At 39.3% G+C, this 27,165-nt stretch overlaps 1 pseudogene across 1 annotated transcript, besides 1 other annotated feature; it reads right to left on the reverse strand.

Annotated features, from left to right (window-relative positions):
* Window positions 1-1,298: 1,298 nt before the first annotated feature.
* Window positions 1,299-22,010, reverse strand: ZNF658B (zinc finger protein 658B (pseudogene); annotated as a pseudogene). The gene is made up of 5 exons (NR_003528.3): window positions 21,903-22,010; window positions 19,161-19,219; window positions 14,364-14,490; window positions 13,993-14,088; window positions 1,299-4,936 (listed from the first exon to the last, which is right to left on the reverse strand). The product of NR_003528.3 is annotated as a zinc finger protein 658B (pseudogene) (transcript).
* Window positions 22,167-22,216: an enhancer, noted in NCBI's record as "active region_28419". NCBI's record gives its function as "activates an Ori minimal core promoter by ATAC-STARR-seq in GM12878 lymphoblastoid cells {active_cell/tissue: GM12878}" and the evidence as "EXISTENCE:reporter gene assay evidence [ECO:0000049][PMID:35858748]".

The following is a 27,165-nucleotide window of genomic DNA, read 5'->3' on the forward strand; positions in this document are numbered from 1 at the left end:
TCATTCCTTTTTCCTCATGAGCTGCCCAAAGTAGCCCCTCAGTGTCTGATGTGCCAGCCCTGGAGGTGCTGATATGGTCCTCGTCTAAAGGTGGGCTCTTCTTTCATGGCTCATCTTTGCAGTGATGCTACTCAATTAACTGTTAACAACAGTGTCAAGGAAATACCTGTCCTCTAACTAATTCTAAAGATGCCATCATTCTCCCTCACACTATCCTTGCCCACAATATAACAAGGGATGGGAATTAGAGACATTTTTCTTGGGTCAACTGATTTATTGTCCTCATGCTTAACCTATCAGATCAAACTTGCAGAAAGCAAGATGCTCAGGGCTGGGGAAAATTGTTACTGGTCTAGGTTTTAAAAATGATTTTGTCTACTTTCTTTTCTGTGCTCATCAAACCGTAGGCTAAAATAATGGCACATTAACTAAATGCTTTCTTGGCTAAGATTATGCCACATTATATTGTTTTACCAAAAGTGAGTCTGCTTTCTCGTACCAGGACTGTACTTCTGGGACAAAGTAGTCCTTTTCATTCCAATTCCAAAACCTGCTGTCTTAGTTTGGTAGAAATACCAAACTGGTATTTCTGGTTTGTGATGCAGTGTGAGGAGGCATCATGATGTTGGAGGAAAATATTCCAAACAGGATGCTGAGGCTATATGCATACAATGGAGGAGAGGAGACCAGTTGCTTTATAATCATCCTGTGCAAAATGAGTAAGTGGAGTGGGATAAAATTAAAATAAAGGCAAACAAAAAGTATATAAGAATCACCCTGTCCTCCCTGGCGCCCCCCTCCAAACACACAAACACACAAGGTGACTGGGGAAATCTCAGCTATCTCCAAGGTCCTAGAAGAATAGGCAAGACTAGTTTTAGGACAAGACTAATTAATATCCAGACATAGCAGGCAGGCCAAAATCTAACAGCATTGAGGGAAGCCAACAGAGGACACAGTCACTCAGAAAAGGAAGTGGACATGCCCAGTGCAGGTTTGGCTGTTAGCACCCACTAGAACTCACCAGTGAGTTACAACGTTTATATACAGACTAAAAGATCTTCCACAGAGCTCAAACTATTCACATTTATTCATATTCTCCACAGAATTCAAATTATTCCATTTTTAACTTCACATTCTACAGTGAGTTTTTCTATAGGTAAATATTTTCTTATATATGTTCTATAAAATTTTTGATATTACAAAACAGAAGCTTGGTACATCAGTTCTAGGTGAATATTTTATCTCCAATTCTAAAACTGACATATTTCCTCAGAAAAAAATACCTAGGAAAAATGTCATTTATTCAAAATATGAAATTTTATTATAATTGATGTTTAATGCAATTCACTTTACGAAGGTTTTTGTGGTTTTCCCTAAAATTTCTGTTTTAATGAAGGCTCCTGATCATCCTGGATGTCAACAAGTTTTCTTCTTCATGTGACGTCTCTGATGCACAATAAACTGATTAGTTTTTCTAAAACTGATTATATTCATAGGGTTTCATCTCACTCTAACATAAAGTTTAAGCTAAACTACGTCCATTTAACTAATAAGCCAAATTTGTAAGAGCTTAACAGACTATAAACTTAACTCTTGCTTTAAAGCAACAAAAACAAAACCCTGATGAAGACCTGGAAGTGAATTGTTCGTTTTTCAGACTCTAGCTTCCTTGACCTTGTGCTTTATGGTTTTGAACACACAGGACCCAAGTTTGCTGCAGAAATAACCTCCAAATCCATATTATGAACCAGGAAGACTGTGAGGGTTTTTCTTTTTTTTTTTTAAGGGCCAAGAGTAAATGTAATATATATCATTAGCACCATATCCCATGGTCAGCCCCACCTGAATAAACGGCATATTGGGATTTTTCCACAAACTATGAGCCTAATGAAAAAGGAAATGGATAAGGGAAACAAGTTCCCAGCCTATGTCACATGAGTTTCTGCACTACGTGTTATGTGGTAAGGTATGCATTCCCTCAGGACTTCCCAAATCCATTACATGCTAGGGTTTTCTCTCTGGTATGCATTCTGGTGTGATGTACCCTAAGAGCTGCCTTACGGACAAAAGTTTTCCCACATTCATCACATTCATAGGGTTTCTCCCCTGTGTGAATTCTCTGGTGTACTCTGAGAGTTGAATTTTGGGCAAAAGCTTTCCCGCATTCATTACACTCATAGGGTTTCTCCCCTGTGTGAATTCTCTGGTGTGCACTAAGGTGTGATTTCTGGGAGAACGTTTTCCCACAATCATTACATTCATAGGATTTCTCCCCTGTGTGAATTCTTTGATGTACTCTGAGGGTTGAATTATGGGCAAATGGCTTCCCACATACATTACATTCATAGGGTTTCTCCCCCGTATGAACTCTCTGATGTGCACTAACATATGACTTCTCAGAGAAGGTTTTCCCACATTCACTGCATTCATAGGGCTTCTCCCCTGAGCGAGTTCTAAGATGTGCTCTGAGATGTGATGTCTTGGAGAAAGTCTTCCCACAGTCATTACATTCATAGGGTTTCTCCCCTGTGTGAATTCTGTGATGTGCCCTGAGGGCTGAATTATCAGCAAACGTTTTCCCACATTCATTACACTCATAGGGTTTTTCCCCAGTATGAATTCTCTGATGTGCACAGAGGTGTGTTCTTTGGGAGAAAGTTTTCCCACATTCGTTACATTCATAGGGTTTCTCCCCTGTGTGAATTCTTTGATGCACTATGAGGGCTGCCTTATAGACAAAAGTTTTCCCACATACGTTACATTCATACGGTTTTTCCCCTGTGTGAATTCTCTCATGTCCACTGAGGTATGATTTCTGGGAGAAAGTTTTCCCACACTTGCTACATTCATAGGGTTTCTCCCCTGTGTGAATTCTCCGATGTGTACTGAGGCGTGTCTTCTGGAAAAAAGTTTTTCCACATTCACTACATTCATAGAGTTTCTCCCCTGTGTGGATATTCTGATGTGCTCTAAGGGCTGAATTATGGGCAAATGTTTTCTCACATTCATTACATTTATAGGGTTTCTCCCCCGTGTGAATTCTCTGATGTATTTTGAGGGCTGAATTATGGGCAAAAGTTTTCTCACAGTCACTACATTCATAGGGTTTTCTACCTGTGTGAATTCTCTGATGTGCTCTCAGGGCTGAATTGTAGGTGAAAGATCTCCCACATTCATTACATTCATAGGGTTTCTCCCTTGTGTGAATTCTTTGATGTGCCTTGAGAACAGAAATATGGGCAAAAGACCTTCCACATTCATTACATTCATAAGGTTTCTCCCCCGTGTGAATTCTATGATGTGCTCTGAGGGCTGAATTATGGGCAAAAGTTTTCTCACAGTCACTGCATTCATAGGGCTTCTCACCTGTGTGAATTCTTTGATGTGCTCTCAGGGCTGAGTTATAGGTAAAAGATTTCCCACAGTCATTACATTCATAGGGTTTCTCCCCTGTGTGAACTCTCTGATGTACACTGAGGTGTGTCTTGTGAGAGAAAGTTTTCTCACATTCAACACATTCATAGGGTTTTTCACCTGTGTGAATTCTCTGATGTGCTCTGAGATGTGATGTCTTGGAGAAAGTTTTCCCACATTCAATACATTCATAGGGTTTCTCCCCCATGAGAATTCTCTGATGTCCTTTGAGATGTGATGTCTTCCCATATTCACTGCCACCACAGAGTTCCATCTCTGCATCTGTTTTCTGGTGTCCTATGAGGGGTGACTTGTAAGATCTCCCACAGCCATTGTTATCACAAGGTTTCTCTTTTGTGTGAATTCTCAGATGTTTACTGAGGTTTGAATTCTGACAGAAAGCTTTCCCACATTCATTACATTCATAAAGTTTGAATCCCACATAAGTTCCAGGATGCTGAATAGGATGTGAACTTGAACAAAAGGATTTTGCACATTCCTCATATTGGTAAGTTTTCTCTCCTGAGTGGGGCCTCTCATGCTGAATGAGGTGTGCTTTCCAGTAAAAGGATTTTCTGCATTTCCCATGTTCATCAGAAAGGTAGAATTTCTGATGTGCTGTAAAGTCTGTGTGAATTCTCTGATGTGCTGTAAAGTCTAATTTCTGGTAGAGGGCATCTGTACATTCATTATGTTCACCAAATTTATCTCCAGCTTGTGTTTTCTGATGTACTATATGGGCTGAGCTCTGGCTAAAATTTTCTTCACATTTATTGCTTTCAAAAGCACTCCATCCTGTAATAGTTCTCTGAGATTGAGTGAGGGGTGACTTCCTACTGAAATTAATCCCCCTTTCATTACACTCATAGTGTGTCATAGCCATGTGAACTTTATTGTATTCAACAGCGGTGGTTTTGTCACAGGATGTCCCATATTCATTAAGATCAGAGCATTTCCCCCTTTTGTCAGTTCTCATGTGGTTAAATAAAGTGGTTTTATCAAAGTTTTTTTCTAAATTCATCATCCTTACAGGACTTTTCTCCTGTTAGAAAACTCTGAGGTGTAATACAAATTGTCTTATCATATAAACCTTGTCCAGATCCATCACATTCAAAAGATTCCTCCAAAGTTTGAAATTTCCAATGCTGACCTTTCTTATAACTGAAAGCTTTAGCATTTTCACCATGTTCATAAGATTTCTCTTCAGCATGAGCTTTCTCATGCTTAATATCAAGCTGCAGTTTCTCACACACATTCATGTATTCAGTCTTCTTTCTTGAATATTTTCTTTCACTTATAATTAATTGAGAAGCAACTGGCAAATTCATTCTGTGTGAGTCACATTTACAGGATATTTTTTCTGAAAGCTCTGGAGCTATTTCCAGATTAAATAGTTTTTCTAAAACTTTCTGTCCTTCTTTACTCAATGTTTTGTCAGCATCACTGATGAATATTTCTTGCCACAGAGGTTTTTCTTGTTTTTCCCGGATCCCTTTGATGTGATCAACTTTAAAATATCCTAAAATGAGAAAAATTGAAAATATAGTATAAATCTTACATTTCTCATGGAGAAGAACTTATACTCATATTTTGGTTTTGGTTTTGGTTTTTGAAATAGGGTATTGCTCTGTCACCCAGGCTGGAGTGCAGTGGCATGATCATAGCTCACTGCAGCCTTGAACTCCTAGGCTCAAGTGATCCTCCCACTTCAGCCTCCCTACTAGATGGGACTACAGGGATATGCCACCATGTCCTGTTAATTTTTTTTATATTTAGTGGAGAGAGGGTCTTGCTACATTGCCCAGGCTGATCTTAAACTCCTGAGCTCAAGCGATCCTCCTGCCTTGACCTCCCAAAGTGCTGGGATTACAGGCATGAGCCACTGTGCCCGGCCCCTGTTTTGTTATGTATTTTATTCTATTGTTTCTGGTCATGTTTCCAAATATTAAATACTTCATGCACACAGACAGATTCTCTCCTCATCCATGCTGTTTATAAAACAGGTATTATTTCCGGGGCCAGTCAAGGTGGAGTAGTAACCCCTTTCTTCCCACATCTTCCCTCTTACAATTAAAAATCCCTAGAGAAAAAACAAAACAACAAAAAAAGATTAACAAATATACAAATATACGAATACTACAAAATGGAAAGAAAGTGGACTTCAGGACTTAAGAAATGACACAGTATGGAATTCCAAGGCTATTCTATATCCTAGACTGGGTGCTGAAGAAACCTACAATCCTGCACTGACAGGCACAGACAAAAAGAGCACAAAGAAAAGCCTGCTTCTTCCAGCCAGAGGTCTGAGAAAATGGTGGTCTAACAGAACAGGAAACACTTTTGATGTTTTCTCATGCTCAGGCCAAACCAAAATGATACAATCCTGTGGTTCCATGGAGGCTGAGCAGGGAGCTAATGTTCCCTGCCGTAGATACACAGGATCTGCATGCTCTTATATGTTTTCTTCCATGAGCCATGAAGAATCCTGAGAAAGTTCCATTCTTAGGATATGCTGGGAGACGGTCACAGCAGCCACTACCAAAATTCTGCCTAGAACCAAATTATTATCTAATTTATGGAACAAATGTCTTAATCTGCAAGGGCAAGAATATAATAAGTTGTTTTAGGGCACTGACAGGAACTCATAGCAGCTATGGGAAGGAAACAAGAAAAAAAGAAGCACAGAAGTAAGAGGAGAGGCAGGAATACACAGTAGACCCAATACTCAAGCAGAAGAGATAAGATAAAGTAGCACTTGCAATAACCATGGCTTCAAACCTGAAGACACAATGCATTCAACAGCTGAATTCACATTCTTCTGAAATGCACATGGAACAATCATCAAAACAGACTATATTCTAGACTGTAAGACAAACCTTCAGAAATATAGAAGAAATAAATTATACAGAGGATGATCTTGGGCCACAGAGAAATTATACCAGAAATCAGTAAACACAAATTTATCTGGAGAAATACAAAAGAACTGTAAGTTATACATTCCTAATTAACCCATGGGTGAAAGAATTCTCAAATGAGATATTTTGAAGTGAATGTAAACAAAACAACTTAGAATACAGAAATTTGTGGATGCAGCTAAGGCAGTACACATAGATAAATTTGGGGCTTAAATTTTTTTGGCCAGATGCGGTGGCTCACGCCTGTAATCCCATCACTTTGAGAGGCTGAGGTGTGTGGATCACAAGGTCAGGAGTTTGAGACCAGCCTGACCAACATGGTGAAACCCCTTCTCTACTAAAAATACAAAAGTTAGCCGAGTGTGGTGGTGCACACCTGTAATCCCAGCTACTCAGGAGGCTGGGGCAGGAGAATTGCTTGAACTCGGGATGTGGAGGTGCAGTGAGCCACGGTACTCCAGCCTGGGTGACAGAGTGAGACTCTGTCTTTAAAAAAATTATATTTGAAAAGAAAGATCTCCAGTCAGATGCTTGTTTCCCCCTTAGGAAACTAGATAAAGACAGGACATTAAGTTGAAAGAAAGTAGAAGGATGACAAAAAAGTCAAACCAAAAGCTTAATTTTTTAAAAAGTTTTTTTAATGATAAAAACCATCAGAGAGAAAAAAAGAGAAGACACAAATTACCAATACCAAAAATTCAAGAGAGGACTAACTACTAACAGACATTCAAGAGATAATAAAACAACATTAACAATAACTCTGTCTTAGTTCGGGCTACTACAACAAATTACCATAGACTAAATGGCTTAAAGAATAAACATTTATTTTTCCCAGTGCAGGAGACTGGAAGTCTGAGATTAGGGTGCCAACATGACTGTGTTCTTGTGAAGACCTCTTCTGGTTTACAGACCACTCACTTCTTGTTATATCCTTACATGGTGAAAAGTGAAGTAGCTAGCTCTGACACCGTTTTGTAACAGCATTCTAGTCTCTCTCTCTTTTTTTTTTTTAACTATAAAAGCAAACTAACTTTATTTGGACAATCTAAGTGGAAAGAAGAGGCAGGTGAATGTGTATTGTAACCACAGGGAATATATTCTATGTCAAATGTTAAAACATAATGGCAGAATAATCTAAAAGACATTTTTTTCTAAAGGAGCTGTCGGTGAAAAGGATATTTACGACAACATATTAACTTACTTCATTATGATGGAGGATATGTTAACTGAATGTCTAATTTACTCAAATTTTAACTATGTTTGCATATGTAAATAAGGCTTAAGAATGTAATGAAATCTTCCTCTATATATGTGTATGTGTGTGTGTGTGTGTGTGTGTGTGTGCAATTCCAAAGAACAACTTCTGGACCAAATAGTTTTAACTAGTAAATTTTACCAAATATCCAAGGAAGAAATAATACCAATCCTACACAATGTCTTCTAGAAAATAAAAGATGGAATATTTCCCAAATCATTTTATAAGGCCTGCCTCATCCTCATAGCAAGATTAGGCAAATACTATTCAAGAAAAGAAACTTTCAGACCAATATCTCCCATAACATAAATGCAAAAATGTCCCAAAAAGTACACCGAAATATATAAACATAGATAATGTATCAGTGAAATTTACCTCAAAAATGCCAAACAGTTACTACACTGCAATACTATAAAAACTATAGTTTTTATGCTGCATTTCAGGTCAATGTAATCTCCTATCATTAGTCTGAAGAACTAAAATCACACACTACATCAATGCCAAAAATTTTAACAAAATTCAAAATCCATTTGTTAATTTAATAAAAGTAATCTATAAAAAGCCTATCACTAACATTATACTCAAGAGAGACTGAATGTCTTCCCTCTAAGATCAGGAAAAAGACAAAGATGCCCACTACCAGTAGCTTTACACAAGATTGCACTGGAAGGACCAGCCAGTGCAAAAAGGTAAGAATAAAAACACAAAGATACAGAGTAAATTTACACAGAAAATTTAAAATCAAAAAAGTTCCTTGAACTAATAAGTGTTTTTAGCAAGGGCAGAATCTAAGGCCAATATACAAATCTATGCCTACAAACATACAATGATGAATTGGAATTTTAAATCACAGAAACAATATTACAGCACCAAAACAAAATTAAAAACAAAAATTAAAAAAGCCTCGTTATCTGTGTTCTAAAAACTAAAAGACATTGATGAAAGAAATCAAAGAAACAGTAAATAAATCAGTAGGGATATTTTGTGTATGGACTGGAAGACTGTACATTGTTAAGATGTCAATTCTCCTAAGTTCTGCAGATTCAATGCCACTCCAGTTTAAATGCCAACATGTTTCCTTTGTAAAGATTATGAACCTCATTTAAAAATTTATACACAAGATGAAAACTGGAGAAGTACTTGACTTCAAAACTTAATAAGCTAGAGTAATCAAGTTAATGTGGTATTGGCATAAGGAAAGACATGTAGATGAATGAAAAGGAATATAAACTACAAAAATAGACCCCCAAATGTACAGCCATCTGTTTTCTAAGAAAGGTGGAAATGCTGTTCAGTGGAGAAGTAACAGTCTTTTCAAAAAGTGATGCTGGAATAACTGGACTCCCTGTTCCAAAAACATTTAACTTGACACATAACTCATACTTTCTATAGAATTTAACACAAAATGGATTATCAACTAAGTGTAAAAACTGAAGCTGTAAAATTTCTAGAAGAAAATAGGATTCCTAAATCTGTTACTTTGAGTTTCAAGGTTTCTAGATAGAACAACAAAAGCAGGTTCTGTAAAAGAAAACAAGTAAGTTGGACTTTATCAAAATTAATATTCAGTTTTAGTGAGCCTCCTCTAAAGTTATACTAGCGGGAGTGAGGTGCAGCATCACTGCCTGCTACGTGGGGAAGGAAGTCCAGTTCCCCACTGATCTGACGCCCTGGGGGTGGAAGAGGAGGCTTCTACTTTTTTTTTTTTTTTCCTTCCTTTTGAGACAGTTTCTCTCGTCGCCCAGGCTGGAATGGAGTGGCGCAATCTTGGCTCACTGCAACCTCTGCCTCCCGAGTTCAAGCGATTCTCCTGCCTCAGCCTCCTGAGTAGCTGGGATTACAGGCACCTGCCACCACGCCTGGCTAATTTTTGTACTTTTAGTAGAGACGGGGTTTTGCAACGTTGGTCAGGCTGGTCTCGAACTCCTGACCTCAGGTGATCCACCCGCCTCGGCCTCCCAAAATGCTAGGATTACAGGTGTGAGCCACCGTGCCTAGCTGAGGCTTCTACATTAACCCTGGGCATGGGTGAAAGATCAGGAGCCCCACAAGGACTCTGATAACACTAACCACCTTGTATTTTGTCAGGTGCCAAGACCCCTAGTGCATCTTCATTCTTCTTTCCACCCTTCAGTAGTGTGATCTCAGCTCACCATAACCTCCACCTCCCAGATTCAAGCAATTCTCGTGCCTCAGTCTCCCAAGCAGCTGGGATTACAGGCACGAGCCACCATGATTGGCTAATTTTTTTGTATTTTTAGTAGAGACAGGGTTTTGCCATGTTGGCTAGGCTCGTTAAACTCCTGGCCTCAAGTGGTCTGCCTGCCTCGGCCTCCCAAGGTTCTGAGATTACAAGTGTGAGCCACTGTGCCTGGCTAGATATTGCATTCTTTACAAACTGAAGGTTTGTGGCAAACCTGAGTTGGGCAAGTCTGTTGGTGCCATTTTTCCAACAGCAAGTGCTCACTTTGTGTTTGACTCAGCAGTTTTTAGCAAACAAATATTTTAATTAAGGCATGCATACTGTTTTTTAGACATGTTATTGCACATCTAAAAGACTAAAGTATAGTGTAAACATAAAACTTTTATAAGCCCTAGGAAAACAAACATTGTGTGTAACTTGCTTTATTGTGAAATTTGCTTCATTGTAGTGGTCTGGAACAGAAACTGCAATATCTCTGAGGCATGCTTCTATATACAGATATTTAGCTGCACTTAGTGGGTAGAGTAGAAAGGAATACATTTACTCCATCCTTCCCCTGGGTAATGCATTCTGTATTTTATTAAATCCTTCCCTAAGAAGAGTCATTAACCTATTCTATATGATCTTCTAGAATATTTCTACTTTTGTTTTGATAATTAGGTCTTAAGCCAACTGAATTCGACTTTTTGTTTTGTTTTGATCTATATGGATACCTCAAGATCCTTTCCTCATTGTTCTCCAGTGTCATCTATCTAAGATGTCTATCAAGTATATGTTTTTTCTTTTCTCTTTTTTTTTTTTTTTTTTTTGAGATGGGGTCTTGCTCTGTCGCCCAGGCTGGAGTGCAGTGGTGCAATCTCGGCTCAATGCAAGCTCTGCCTCCTGGGTTCACGCCATTCTCCTGCCTCAGCTTCCCAAGTAGCTGGGACTACAGGCACCTGCCATCACGCCTGGCTGATTTTTTTGTATTTTCAGTAGAGACGGGTCTCCATCTCCTGACCTTGTGATCCACCCACCTTGGCCTCCCAAAGTGCTGGGATTACAGGCATGAGCCACCACGCCTGGCCTCATGTTTTTTTCTTTAACTTTCTACTCTGTTTCACTAATTTACTAAATCATCCCACCCCCCAGCTCCATGCTACTTAGCTACACAGCACTTTACATAAAGCCTCAATATCTGGTAGAGCAGCAAATCCTCCTGTATCACTCGTTTTTATGAATGGGATTGTGTTTGGTATAGCGTTACCTCTTTACAGATGTATCCTGACTTGAATTTATTATATAGGTGTTTCCTCTCTTTTTTCTTTGATAGAGTTAGCTGAAGTTTAATTCATTTTATTTTTCTTGTAAGAAACATTCCATTTCTGTTTTCCATTTTATTTTTAATTTTACTTTTAAATTCTTCTGTTTTCACTATTGTATTTTTGATGCTGTTCTTGCTTAATTAATGAGACTACGAACTTCCTTCTGTCCACTACTTTAGCTATACCTGATGGTTTCTAACTTGCAGTTACAATTATTTCATTACAGAAATCAAATCCAAAATTGCATTACACTTTTTTGTATATTGTTTAAAAGAGATACTAAAATTTTTTCAAGTGGATTTTTTTCATTTTATTATTAATTTCTAGATTTATCAAACTAGGTTCAGAGAATACTGTTTGTGTTTATTCTAATTTGTTAGATTTATTGAGGTTTTCTCTTTAGACTAATAGTATACTCTATTTTATCATTATTCAATTAAAACATGAAAGTTTTGTTTTTTGCATTAGCATACATATACACAAATGTATGGTTCACTTTAATACAAATGTAATTTATAGCCTCTCTAGGCATATTTATTTAATGTCCACTGTACCTACTGTTTAATCAGATGAGACATTATGATGTCCTAATTCTAATGAGTTTTAAGTTCTTAGAACTCCATTATTTTATGTTTTAGAAACATTGATATTATATTATTTGGTGCACTCATTCAAATCCTTAAAGGTTTTCATTTCCCTGTGCTCTTGAATGAGAGCTTTTCCTACTTTAATGAATTTCTTGCCTGAATTCAAATCTGAATGATATAGAACATGAAACCTACATTATTTTATCTTTATTGACTCAACAACTTTACTGATTTTTTTTTTTTTTTAATTTTTTGGGACTGAGTCTCGCTCTTTTGCCCAGGCCGGAGTGCAGTGGTGCTATCTCGGCTCACTGCAAGCTCTGCCTCCTGGGTTCACACCATTCTCCTGCCTCAGCCTCCCAAGTAGCTGAGACTACAGGCGCCTGGCTAATTTTCTGTATTTTTAGTAGAGACAGGGTTTCACCGTGTTAGCCAGGATGGTCTCCATCTCCTGACCTCGTGATCCGTCTGCCTTGGCCTCCCAAAGTGCTGGGATTACAGGCATGAGCCACCACGCCTGGCCCAACTTTACTGATCTTTTATAATGATCTTTCTATGTTACTTATTTAGGGATATCCTTTTTAGACAATCAATATGATCCAATAATTTACATTTAGTGACTCAGCAACATACTTGATCTAAATTATGTCACTCTTTATGTGATGCTATTTGTTGGTATGGCTTCAAACAAAAACCTTAATTGTGCTTCACTTCTAATAAGATGATTTTACTTTTTTATTCTAAAAATGACATTGAAAACTATAACTTTTTAAGATTTCTGGAATCATTTATTTGTACAAAGCCTAATAGGCATATAAAAAGATGCCTGATATCATTAGTGACCAGGGAAATTGTTATAGACTTGTTTGTGTCCTTCCCAAATTCTTATCTTGAAGCCCTAACCCCCAGTGTAACTGTATTTGCAGACAAGGCCTTCAAGGAGGCAAAAAGGGTAAAAATGAGGTCACAGGAAAGGACCCTAATCCAGTAGTACTGATATCTTTATAAGAAGCGGAAGAAACACCAGAGTATTCTCTCTCTCCCACTGCATGTGCACAGAGGAAAGGCCACATGAACACACAGCAAGAAAGTGGCTGTCTTCAAGCCAGGAAGAGACGCTTCACCAGAAACCAACTTATTAGTACTTTCATTTTGGACTCCCAGCCTCCAGAATCATGAGAATTTCTGTTGTTTAAACTACCCAGCCTATGGTATTTTATTATGATAGCCCTAGCTGACTAATACAGAAATGTACATCAAAACCACAGTGAGATATCAGTTCACATCCACTGGGGTGGCTAGAATCAAAAAGTCAAACAATAACAAGCATTGGTGAGGATGTGGAGAAATCAGAACCCCCATATGCTGTTGTTAGGAACAGAAAAATGCTGCATTTAGAAAAACCGTCTGGTGGTTCCTCAAACAGATAAAGACACAGATACCATATGACCCAGCAGTTTCACTCCTAGGAATATACACAAGAGAAATAAAACCAATTGTCCATGCAGAAACCTGTAAATAAATGTTTATATTAGCATTATTTGTAGGTGGAATCCCAAATATCTACTGACTGATAAATGGACAAACAGGTGGTACATCCATACAACGGGACATTATTTGGCCATAAAAAGAATGAAACATGTATTTTATATCAGTTGTAAACATTATGCTAGGCAAAATAAACCAATCACAAAAGACCACATATATGATCCAATTTATACAAAATGTCTAAAATAGGCATATTTATAGACACAGAAGTAGACTGTGGTTACCTAGGGCTGCAGAGGGCAGGGGGGATGGGACAGTGATAACTAAAGGGTACACGTATGTTTGAGGTGATGAAAATTAACTGTGGTGATGTCTGCATATACAGTCATCCCCTGGTATCCATGGGGAATTGGTTCCAGGATTCTCTTAAATACCAAAATCCACAAATGCCCAAGTCCTTGATACAAAATGGCATAGTATTTGCATATAACCTATGCACATCCTCTTGCATACTTTAAATCATCACCATATTAATTATGCTACCTAATACAATGTAAATGCCATGTACATAGTTGTTATACTATATTGTTCAGGGAATAGTGACAGGAAAAAAATGTCTATACATGGTGAATGAAAGTGCAATATTTCTTCCCTGAATAGTTTTGATCTGTGGTTGCTTGAAGTCACTGACCTGTACACTTTAAAGGAGTGAATTGTAGGCATGTGAATTATATCTCAATAAAGCTGTTCCAAAAAAACTTTCAAAGGTGCTCTCCCTCTAAAGACTAAGTACCCCCAGGTACTTCTGTTAATGCCCACTCACCTGGGTACCTCTGGTTCAGGAATTCATCTTCTAAAGACCATGGCTCTTCTCCTTTCTCCAACTTGGAGATCACCTTGGGTTTAGTAATGCAATATCCTGTAAACAAAATAATTGACATGGACCAGATTCACAGGCTTTTGGATTTCCAAAGGGAAAAAAAAGATATGGCAGCAAAGCATTAACTGAGGGTGTTCATTTGAAATTTTTAATGGGAAAGTAATGACATGTTGCTTTTGTTTCTGTAAAGGTTTCAACTACTTCAGACCTTTTAATCCAAAGCCCTTTAATCTCTATAAAGGGTCCATGTGTTTTGATAGTTTTTAAAAAGGGACATGTATTCTCGAGAGAGCCCCATGGTAAGCTATGCTCACCCACTGAGACGAGGTGGCTGTAGTTCTCCAGCATCACATCTCTGTACAGCGTCCTCTCGACAGGGCCCAGGTGCTGCCACTCCTCCCGGGTGAATTCTACAGTCACGTCCTGGAATGACACTGATGCCTGTAACAACATTTATCACAACAAATATAACAACGGTTTGTTCAAGGGTTCAGAATTGGGTGACACAGAAAATATCTTTGAGAGCTACTACTAAAATGAATGGTTATAAAGGCCTATTTTAGACCCAAAATTGTCTTAACATATGTAACTCAAAACATTTTTTAACTTGCCATAATTTCTCTATGTATTTATGAATTCTAGGTTTTTGTAAGACAAAAAAAAATCAATGTAAAACAACTTCCTTCCAACCACCTCCTTCCTTCTTCCACATCTCCGCAAATTATCCGGGGTAGTCTCTAGGACATTCACACCCTCCCTGGACATCATCACTGTAAATTCTGGGGGCTAAGGAAGAGATATATGTGAAGTCTGGAGATACCCTGACCAAACTTTATATAGGGTAGAGCAGGTGAAGAGCAGAGAACAGCTACAATAGTTGTAACCAAAGAGACTGGCACAAAAGAACACTTTCTACACTGAGGTCACAGCAATGGATGTAAGAATAGGGATATAATCACAGAAGAGAAGCAACACCCATTTAATACAATACTTTATTGTACAGCTACTCAATCTAGCTGTATGAGAAGCTCCTTTTAAAAAAATTTTGTTTTTAATTGACAGAAAGACAAATATTTCAAATTATAGTCACTTATATGTGGAACCTAAAAAGTTCAAACTCATAGATGTAGACAGTAGAATGGTGGTTACCAGAGGCTGGGGGTGAGGGGTGAGGAATGGGGAAGCATTGGTCCAAGGGCACAGAGTTTCAGTTACATAAGAGGAATAGTTTTTGAGCTATTGCACAGGATGATGACTAGAGTGAAAAATAAAGTAATGTATATTTCAAAATAAGCAGCTGCTTGGTGGTGCCAAAACTGGTATCTGGGAAAGAAGAAAACGTGTTAGAAGATTCAGTGAGAGTTCTGTTCATGTTGATACGTAGCTAGAACTGTTCGTTCAACCAGGATACATATGATTTTAGAACACAGAAGGTAAGATGGGGATGAAGATAAGCATTTAGGATTTACTAGCAATTTAGGTGGTGAGTAAAATTAGCAGAGACAGACAGCTCCTTGAGCACACAGGGATTGAAGAAAGAAAAGAACCAAAAACAACACCTGAGGAACCACAAAGCAGAAAAAGTACAGGCCACAAAGCCAGAGATGTTTTCCAAAAAATAATAACAGAATCAGGAGGGGGCAGAGTCTTAGAAATTGAGAAAAGAGAAAGTTTCCACAACAAGAAGACTTCAAATTCAAATTAGCAAGTGATGACGGTGAAGATACTGAAGATCCAAGAAAATTCCTTCTTCCATAAAAGCAACGAGAAACCGGCAAAAACTGCAGAATCAACTTTTTCAGAACTCTAGAAGCTACCAAAGGCTTACAGCAATCTGCGGAACATTGATATGAGAAAAACAGCTGCATCACAGTAAGAACAATGATCTTGTGTCATTTCAACCTGCCCTATATCCATCCCTCTCACTCCCACTCGGCATTAGCTTTGAGAAACATCTGAAACAACAGGAGAATCCAGCGGCCTGGTATCCACTGGATGAGGCAGACTGGGTCACAGGTTGGCCAAAGCCTCACTCCCAGAAAACCCTCATTATCTGACCTAATCTGTGGTTCCCTGGAAGAGCTGACTTGAAAGGCTGATTGAATTAAGTCAGAGTTCCCCAGTGTGAAAAGCCTTATTCTTGAAGGCATTTGCCAAAAACATTCAAAGGCAATTGTTTAACTCAGCAGCTAACTGAGGCGGTGGATAACACCTGACATAAATAACAGCCTAATTGAAAAGCTTTTTAGAAAGGAAAAACTGGAGAATGGGATGTTCATAAAGCTTTTGAAAAGCTCCTATAGATTCTAGAGACTCTAGGTCACCTACATGCATAGAGCTGAGCATATGCCCAGGGCTGTGATTATGCTCTGGAAAGATGTGAGAAGGCCCTAAACTGTCACCCTGGGTGACCCTAGGGTTTGGGGTGAACTGGAAGTGAAGGAAGTGAAGGTTAACATGGGGTTATAAATTGCCTGGATGTCTGTTGAAGGAATGCCCCAGCACTCATGAGGCTCTTTGGCAAAGACTGAGAGCCTTACTTAAGGTTTCAGGCATTTAAGAAAATTTCTGCAGACTTCTGCGGCCACACATGACAATAAACACAGGCTCTACTGAATCAATTAAAAAGTCACTAGACAAATTTCAACAACAACTCCTGCAAATCAAGAAAGTTTTCTAGAGTTGCCACCGTATTTAAAATGTATAGTTTTCAACAAAAAATGCAAAACAAGAAAAGAAACAACAAGTAAGACCCATATGCAGGAAAAAAGTACAATCAATAGAAACTACTCACGAGGAAGCAGGCATTGGACTTAAACAGACGATGACTTTAAATCAACTATGTTACATATGGTCAAAGACTTAGAGGAAATGATATGTAAGGACCAAAGGAAAGTATTAGAATAATATCTCACCAGATAAAGGATATAAATAGACAGAAACTATAAAAAGGGACCAAATAGAAACTCTAAAGTTGGAAAGTACAAAACTAAAACAAATATTTTACCAAAAACACCTGTTCAACAGCAGGTCTGAACGGGTAGAATGAAGCAACTGGACAACATGCCCACTGAGATTATGCAGTGAGAAACAGAAGGAAAAATAACAAGAAATGAACAGTTGGACAGCATCAAGCTTATCAACATATGCCAAATAGACTAACAGAATGGAGACAGAAAGGGTCTAAAACAATATCAGAAGTAGTAATGGCCAAAAAACCCCACAAATCTGAAATAAATGATAAATCTACATGCCCAAAATGCTTCACAAACTTTAAGTAGGATAAACTTGGAGAAAGAAATCCACACTCGCTGGGAGCAGTGGCTCACACCTGTAATCTCAACACTTTAGGAGGTAGGCAGATCACTTGAGGCCAAGAGTTCAAGACCAGCCTGGCCAACATGGTAAAACCCCATCTCTACTAAAAATACTAAAATTAACCAGACATGGTGGTGAATGTCTGGAATCCCAGCTACTTAGGAGGCTGAGGCACAAGGATTGCTTGAACCCAGAAGGTGGAGGTTACAATGAGCCGAGATCATGCCACTGCACTCCAGCCTGGGTGACAGAGCGAGAGACTGTCTCTCAAAAAAAAAAAAAAAAAAAAAAGAAAGAAAGAAAAGAAAAAGAGAAAAGAAAAAAGAAAAGAGAAATCCACACCTGGACATGAGAATCAGAGTGTTAAAAAGACAGACAATCGGAAAGCTGTAACAGAGAAACAAGTCATCGTATTACAGGCTGATTTATAATGAGAAACTATGGAGGACAGAGGGCAATGGGATGACATATTCAAAGTGCTGAAACAAAGACTGTCAACCAATAACCTCTATATCCAGGAAAAATAGAGAAACTGGAATTTTCCCAGGTAAACAAAACCTGAGAGAATTCATCACAGGCAAGACTGCCTATAAGAAATAATAAAGGGAGTGGTTCAGCAAAACTATGGAGATAGAGGAGTAGGTTAGTGGTTGTTTGGGGCTCAGAGGGAATCAAATGGTAGTTACAGTGTACACAGCTTCTTTCTAAGGGAATAAAAATGTTCTAAAATTGACTGCAGTGATATTAGCACATTATCTGAGAATGTACTAAAAAAAATCACTGAATTCTACACTTTAAATGGGTACATGGTAAGATACATGAATTGAATCTCAAAAAAAAGCAGTTTTAAAAAAAGAAAAAAACAAGGGAAGACAAAATCATTTGGAGACAACAGAGAAGACTAAAGAGCCAAGGACAGAAACTGAGGCTGAGCCGAGTGACAGGACAAGGAAGGTGGCTCCATGAAGACATCAGCCGGGGAAGGACCAGTGAGGGGCAAGTATCACTAACGGAAATGTTCCAGGACAGAGTGAGACATTGAGGCAAGTGCTGCGGAAAAGCCAAGCAAGTTAAGGAAAAGACCACGTCCACTGGATTTGATTATACTATGGGTAGGGACACTGGAGGTCCCAGGCAAGTGGCAAGAAAAAATCAAGGCATCCCATGGAGAGTTGACGTTAAATGCTAAGTGTGGAAATATCTGAAAGAGAACAATTTTGGACCATCTGCTGAGCAACCTGAATATCATGGGTACTCAAAATATTTATGGAGAGTGATTTTAAAGACATTCAGTTGATTCATCAGAAAAATGTTAAATTCAACCCTTGCACTGGAGTACTTGAAAAATAGTACTGAACGTGTTCAAATTTAGCATTACAATTTCTACTTCTATTGAAGAAGTAATATTCTGTTATTTGGCAATTTATTAACTAAGTCACCTACTTGAAGAACAATAAATACATTTTGTTATCTTTATGTTTATATTCCATGATAAATCAGTTGGCTTTATCTTTCTCATCAATGTAAACCTTTAAGTATTGTCTGTCTGACACTCCACCATGACTGTCAATAACCTCAGAAATAAATCTGAAGCTTAATTTGGTAAATTTGTAACATCGGAGGATCTGCATCTATCCACATGCCACTTTGCTCTGCTATTCATCTGCATTTCTACATCTTCTAGGAATGTGTCTGATCCATCTCTATTTCTACTTTTCCATGTTAATGTACGGACACATAAACCCTTACAAAACCTATTGTAAAATAAACTGGTTTTTAAAAACCTAACTCACCTGAGACATGTTCATTTTCTGCTGCTCCTGGAAGAGTGTAGAGGACTGTGGAGGTTCAGCTGGGGAGGAGGAAAGAGCAGTGGGGTCATGAGAGACCTGGTCTGCCTCTCAGTTCTTACAGAGATGGTCCCTGACATGAGATGGTTCGACTTGATAATGGTTTTACTGCGACATAACCCCACTGTAATCAAGGAGCATGTAATCCTATTCATGTGCCTAAAAAAAAAATCATCGCACTCAGCTGGAGAAAAGGATTCCCAATGCAGAATGTCCCTTTGACTCTTGAAAAGGGACAAGAAAGACCACTCAAAGATAGCCACACCTGAATATGTGCATCTCTGATACGATTATGTGCGCTTAAACTTACATTTTCACTGAGTAAAGTAATACTGTTTTTTGTTGATTTACTAATAATTATGTTGATTTATTAACAATTATGTTCCCTTTTGACTAAGAAAAAAGTAAAAATAAAACAAAGGATTAAGCAAGTTCAGGTACACAGAGATGAAGCTGTTTACCTTCATTAAAGCTAATGTCAAAGAACTATTCAGCCGGGTGTGGTGGATCATGCCTGTAATCCCAGCAGTTTGGGAGGCCGAGGGGGGTGAACTGCTGGAGGCCAAGAGTTCAAGACCAGCCTGGTCAACATGGCGAAATCCTGTCTCTACTAAAAATAGAAAAAAATATAAAATAAATAAATTTTAAAATAATTTTTTTAAAAAAGAACTACTCAGGCTGACTTAATCAAGTTCTTACTGCCTTTACACCCAGAATTAGCACTTCCACGGAAAAAATAAAGATAGGATGTTTTATGCAAGGAATTTCAGGCCCAATATTTTTGGGCTTCCAATATAGGAAATTCTTCCTCTACTACCCGGAAAGAGGCAGCATTAGTATCACTCTAAATGCCACATGTGGTGATGAACACGGTGTGAGAGGGACTCACAATGTGGAAGAAGTGAAGGCAGAAAGGAAACTAGGCTGCCGTTTGGGATCTGGACAGCTGATTACATCTTCCCTGGATATCATGACCTAACCAGCCCTCCAGTAAAGTGTCTTTTTCCACCCAGCTTGATAGTCACTCATCCCTCTCAACCCCTGGGAATTGCCTTCTGCAAGTTAGTCCACAGCAAAGTCACACGGTCTGTGATGGCTTCTGGATGTGGCAACATCACGAAATCTGATGCATATATAAGGAGTCAACAACTGCCTCTGGGGAAGCAATCAGGACCTGCTCCTTTCTAGAATCTTCTGCCTCTGCTCTGACGCTCTAGAAGAGGTCTCCGTCATATGGGCTGTTCTTCTATGGCAGTAGGCCCTAGGACTCCCTCTTGACTGCCTCATAGGAGCTGCTTTGCTCCAGAGGGGCTGGGACTTAGGCCTGAGAAACAAACTCAATTGAAACCTTCACCTAATACCCTAAACCTGACTCTTGAGATTCACTAGAAATGTGCTATCCAGCACTGCAGCCATCAGCCACATAGAACCATTGAACACCTGAAGTTTGGCCAGTGCTACAAGTCGAATATTTAGGAAGTAAAATAAAGCAGTAAAACTGACTTTGTCTGCCTCTTCTTTTTACTGTAGCTACTGAAAAATTCTAAACTTTTTTTTCTTTTTTGAGACAGAGTCTCACTCTGTCACTCAGGCTGGAGTGCAGTGGTGCAATCTCGGCTCACTGCAGCCTCCGCCTCGGGTTCGAGCGATTCTCCTGCCTCAGCCTCCCAAGTAGCTGGGATTACAGGAGTGCACCACCACGCCCGGCTAATTTTTTTATTTTTGTAGAGATGGGCTTTTGCCATGATGGCCAGGCTGGTCTCGAACTCCTGGCCTCAAGTGATCCACTGGCCTAGGCCTCCCAAAGTGCTGGGATTACAGGCATGAGCCACCGCGCCTGGCCAAAAATTCTGATTTATATTTGTGTTTTGCCTTATCTTTCTATTGGACAGCACAGCACCAGAATATCAATCTGTGCCTTTGAGGAGACAGCGGGAACAGTACAAGAGGATTCAGGAGCCTCAGCCTGAATCAGAGACCCGACAAATCGCAGAATGTATCTACCACTTGGTGAGATTCTGTCCACATTTACTTCACAATCATCTACACAGATCTGGTGACAGGCCACTCTGCATAAGCGCTCTGAAGGCTTTAGGCAGGTACTGGCAAGTCTGGGTTTCAGGCAGACAGCATGTTAGAACGAGCAGGACAGGGAGTCCTGCATTTGCATCTCTCAGCATTTGCATCTCACCTCTCTCACCTACTAGTGTGTGCCCTGGGGTACCCATCCCCATGAACTTTCGTCCATTTTTTTAAAATGGCACGTTTATACCAAAGAGGTCGTTGTGAGGGTCAGGTGAAATACCAAACGATGAGAATAAGTGTCTCATAATTGTGAGAGCAGCTTACATTTCACATAGTGACTATTACAGACACTTAACAAAATGCTTTACAGGTGACAACTTATTTAATTTTCAGAATAGGAACACGAGTTGCTAGTAACCTCCTCCTGTTCGCCGTCAACCTCATCCACGCACATTCCTCTTCCCGGCCCGCAACCCCGCGGGGCCCGGCAGCCCCTACACCTGCGGACAGGACTCGGCCTGGGCCCGCGCACTGGGCCGGGGAGGAGAGGGGAGGGCCATCCTGGGGACTCCTGAGACTGCCTGCTGCTGTCCTCCGCACACAAGCCCGCCCGTCCCCAGGTTCCTGGGCCGCGCGGAGCCCTGTCACCGACGCTCTCACCCCAGGTGCGCAGCCTGGGCTCCCGCGCAGACCTAAAGACTCGGACACCGTGTCCCTTTCAGGCCCGGGAGGGCAGACGGCAGGAGGTGGGGCTGGGTTTACACATGCGCAGAGCGAGCCCCGAAGCCCCATTCCCAAAGTGCTGCGCGGTAGGCGCGTTAACATTGAAAACTACAGTTCCCGTAAGCCCGTGCGTCCGAAGGAAGTACTATAATTTTTTCTGCTGCTTTGACCGGCTGGGAGGGACCTTCGGAGCCCAGGGATTTCCCAAATTCCCGGAGGTTGTCAGCATGACCACAAACTGCGAAGCGTGGTTCTTGATGCGATCCTGGTTGGAGAAAAAAGCACCTGAAACAGACATTAACAATTGGGGAAACATGACTATCGACAGGACATTAGAAATATTAAAGAAAATTACCGTTACTTTGAGAATAATAGCTAGACGATGTAGGACATTGTTCTTATATTTAAAAGATATGTACAGAAACATTTACAATTGTATGCTTGTAGTTTAATTGAAATACTTTAAAAATTTCTCAAAACAATGAAAGCAGATATAGTAATAAGTGAAGAATTGTTAAATCTGTATAATACGTGCTTATGATGCTCATTTTACTATTTTCTACCATTCTGAGGGTCTGATTTTTTTTTTTTTTCATACTCAGTAAAAGACGTGTGGGGCAGTGCAGTGCAGGGGGAGTGGAGAGGCTTTACTATCCCTTCGGAAGTATGCCGTTAAATTCAAAGTTGCCAAGGGAAGTAAAAGTACATAAAAATAGCTTTATGAATAAGGTTGTGAAATCGAACAAATACTAGAAAACATAAACGAGTAACATCTGTGATCAGCAGGGTTTATGGGGGTTGGAGGAGGAAGCTAGCTGTTCAAAATACATATGTGATGCGTGAAAACACATGCAACCCAAAATATGAAAATGATTATTACACCAACCTTGCATTTTCATGAGGAAACCTTTTTTGAAACGTGTATACCCATCTGACTGTTTAAAGAATTAGGAATAGATAGGTACTATAACTTTTTTTTAATTTTTAATTGATAGACTTTTCTTATTTTATTTTATTTTATTTTATTTTTTTGAGATGGGTTTTGCTCTGCCGCCCAGGCTGGAGTGCAGTGGCGCTGTCTCGGCCCACTGCAACCTCCGTCTCCGGGCTCAAGCTACTCTCCCACTTCAGCCTCCTGAGTAGCTGAGACTGCAGGTGTGGGCCACCATGCCTGGCTAATTTTTTTTTTTCTTTCGAGACGGATTTTCACTCTTGTTGCCTAGGCTGCAGTGCAATTCTCGGCTCACCACAACCTCCGCCCCCTGGGTTCAAACGATTCCCTGCCTCAGCCTCCCAAGTAGCTGGGATTACAGGCATGTGCCACCACGCCCAGATAATTTTTTGCATTTTTAGTAGAGACAGGGTTTCACCATGTTGGCCAAGCTGGTCTCAAACTCCTGAACTTAGGTAATCCACCTTGCCTCGGCCTCCCAAAGTGCTGGGATTACAGGCGTGGGCCACTGTGCCTGGCCTTTTGTATTTTTTTTTTGTAGAGATGGGGTTTCACTATGTTGCCCAGGCTGGTCTCAAACTACTGGGGTCAAGCGATCTGTCCACCTCAGCCTCCCAAAGTGCTGGGATATTAATAGATGTACAGAGCAGTTTTAGGTATACAGAAATATTGAGCAGAAAGCACAGAGTTCCCATATACCTCCGCTCATCAACCCACACACAGTTTCCCCTATTATTAATATATTGCATTAGTTTAGTACATTTAAAATACATAGTTTATATTAGCTTTCATTCTGTCTGTTCTACAGTTCTGAGTTTTGCCAAATGCATGTCTTTTAGTGCGATTTCCACCAATGCAATGATGTAATATCCACCATTACAGTATCATAAAAAATAGTTTCACTGCCTGATATGGTTTGGATTTGTGTCCCCGCCCAAATCTCATGTCAAATTAAAGGAGGGGCCTGATGGGAGGCGATTGGATCATGGAACAGATTTCCCCCTTGCTGTTCTGGTGATAGTGGATTCTCACAAGATCTGATGGTTTAAAAGTGTGTGGCACTTCCCCCTTCGTTCTCTCTTTTGCTTTGCCATGGTAAAGATGTGATTGCTTCCCCTTCACTTTCTGGCATGATTGTTAGTTTCCTGAGGCCTCCCAGTCATGCTTCCTGGTAAGCCTACAGAACTATGAGTCAATTAAACCTCTTTTCATCATAAATTACCCCATCTCAGGTAGCTGTTTATAGCAGTGTGAGAATGGATTAATACAGAATTTGGAACCAGGAGTGGGGTACTGCTATAAAGATACCTGAAAATGTGGAAGCAACTTTGGAGCATAACTTTTTTTATTTCACATTGTGCCAGCAACATTTGTAGAAAAGGCTATCTTTTCTCCACTGTATTGCCTTTGTTCTTTTGTCAAAGATCAGTTGCTGATACTTGTGTAGGTCTTTTTCTGGGTTCTCTATTTTGTTCCATTGATCTATTAATACTTGTCAGTTATTTCACCAACATGACACTGCCTTGATCACTGTAGCTTTATAGTAATTTTTGAAGCCAGGTGGTATTAGTCTTCTGACTTTTTCTTCAATATTGAGTTGACTATCTGGGTCTTTTGCATTTCCATATAAACTTTAGAATCATTTTGTTGATGTCTACAAAATAACTTGCTGATATTTTATTGAGATTGTGTTGAATCTATTGATCAAGTTGGTAGGAACTAACATCTTAACAATATTGAATCTTCCTATCCATTAACATGGAATATCTCTCCATTTATTTAGTTATTTCTTTCTTTCATCTGAGTTTTGTACTTTTCCTCATATAGATCTTGCATGCATATTGTTAGATTTATACCTAAGTATTTCATTGTTTTAATGATAATATAAATTGTGTGTTTTAAATTTCAAATTCCAATTTTCATTGTTGGCTTATAGGAATGTAATTGACTTTTGTATAATAAGCTTGTATGCTGCAATCTTGCTAATAATCACTTAGTTCCAGATGTTTGTCTGTCAACTCTGGGGTTTCCTACAGGGACAATCATATCATTTGCAAACAAAGATAGTTTTATTTCTTCCTTCCCTATCTGTAGGCTTTTTACTTCATTTTCGTGTTTTGTTCCATTAGCTAGGACTTTCAGTATGATGTTGAATAGGTGTGGTGAGAGGGGACATCCTTCCCTTGATTACTATCTTAGGGGCATTTTCTTTCTCAGCATTTAACTATGATGTCAGCTATGAGTTTTCTGTAAATGTTATTTATCAAGTTGAGGAGCTTCCCTCTATTCCTTGTTTGCTGAGAGTATTTATCATAAATGGGGATTGGATTTTGTCCAATGCATTTTCTGTGTTTATTGATATGATTGTATGATTTTTTTCTTTAACCAGTTGACAAGATGGATTAGATTAATTTATTTTCTTTTTCCTTTTTTTTTTTTTTGAGATGGAGTCTCATTCTGTTAACCAGGCTGGAGTACAGTGGCGTGATCTTGGCTCACTGCAACCTCTGCCTTCCGGGTTCAAGTGATTCGCCTGCCTCAGCCTCCTGAGTAGCTGGGACTACAGATGCACACCACCATGCCCAGCTAATTTTTGTATTTTTAGTAGAGACGGGATTTCACCATGTTGGTCAGGCTGGTCTCAAACTCCTGACCTCGTGATCTGCCTGCCTTGGCCTCCCAAAATGCTGGGATTACAGGTGTGAGCCACCATGCCCAGGCCAGATTAATTGATTTTCTATGTTGAAACAGCTGTGCATACATACCTGAGATAAATCCAAATTATGGTATATAATTCCTTTTAAATATTGTTGAATTCTATTTGCTAATATTTTGTTGAGGGATTTTGCTTCCATATTCATGAGAAACATTGGTCTATTGTTTTCTTATCTTTTAATATGTTTGTCTGATTTTAATCTTAGGCCACTGCTGGCTTATAGAATTAGTTAGAAAGCATCCCCTCTATTTTACTGAAAAGATTGTAGAGAATTTCTGTCTTAATGTTTGGCAGAATTCACCAGTGAAACTATATTGGCTTGGAGCTTTTTATAAAAAGTTATTAATTATTAATTCCATTTCTTTAATAGATATAGGCCTACTGAAGTAGTCTATTTCTTATTTGTGTGAGTTTTGGTATATTTGTCTTCTAAGGAATTGGTCCATTTCATCTATGTTATAGAATTTGTGGGCACAGAGTTGTTCATTGGATGTGAAATTCTAAGTTGACAAATTTTTTTCTGTCAACACTAAAAATTTTTTTTTTTTTTTTTTGAGACAGAATCTTGCTCTGTTGCCCAGGCTGGAGTGCAGTGGCACGATCTTGGCTCACTGCAAGCTCCACCTCCCGGGTTCACACCATTCTCCTGCCTCAGCCTCCCGAGTAGCTGGGACTACAGGCGTCCGCCACCATGCCTGGCTAATTTTTTTTTGTATTTTTAGTAGAGACGGGGTTTCACTGTGTTAGCCAGGATGGTCTCAATCCCCTGACCTCATGATCCACCCACCTTGGCCTCCCAAAGTGCTGGGACTACAGCCGTGATCCACGGCCAACACTAAATATTTCACTCCACTGTCACTCGCCTGCTTTCTGAAGAGAAGTCTGATGTGGTTGCTACTCTGTTTCACAACATGTAACATCCCCTCCCCCGACCCACCTCCTTTCAAGATTTTCTCTTTGTTTTTTATTTTTCTACAGTTTGAATATGATATGTTTAGGTGTATGTTATCTGATATTTATCCTGATAAGTGTTCTCTTAGTTTCCTGGTCTATAGTTTGGTGCCTGTTATTAATTTTCAAAAATTATCAGCCATTATTACTTCAACTATTTCTTATCTTCATTTTTCCTCTCTTTTTGGTATTCCCATTATATGTATGTTACTTTTGTAATTATCTCACCTTCTTGGATATTCTGTTCTGTTTTTAAAAAATCTTTTATCTCTTTGCATTTAACGTTTGGCAGTATATATTGACATATCTTTGAGCTCACAGAGTCTTTCTCAGTTATATGCCATCTACTGATGAGCACATGAAAGCAGTCTTCATTTTTGTTTCATCGTTTTTGAATTGTAACATTTACTTTTGAATCTTTCTTAGAGCTTACATCTCCCTGTTTACATTATCCATCAGTTCTTGCATGGTATTCGCTTTTTCCATTATAGCCCTTAGCATATTAATCAGAGTCATTTTACATTTCAAGTCTGGTAATTCCAAAACCTCTGCCAATTCTGAGTCCAGTTCTGATGCTTGCT

Source organism: Homo sapiens, chromosome 9 (assembly GCF_000001405.40).
Source record: "Homo sapiens chromosome 9, GRCh38.p14 Primary Assembly".
In the NCBI taxonomy this organism is placed as follows: Eukaryota; Metazoa; Chordata; class Mammalia; order Primates; family Hominidae; genus Homo; species Homo sapiens.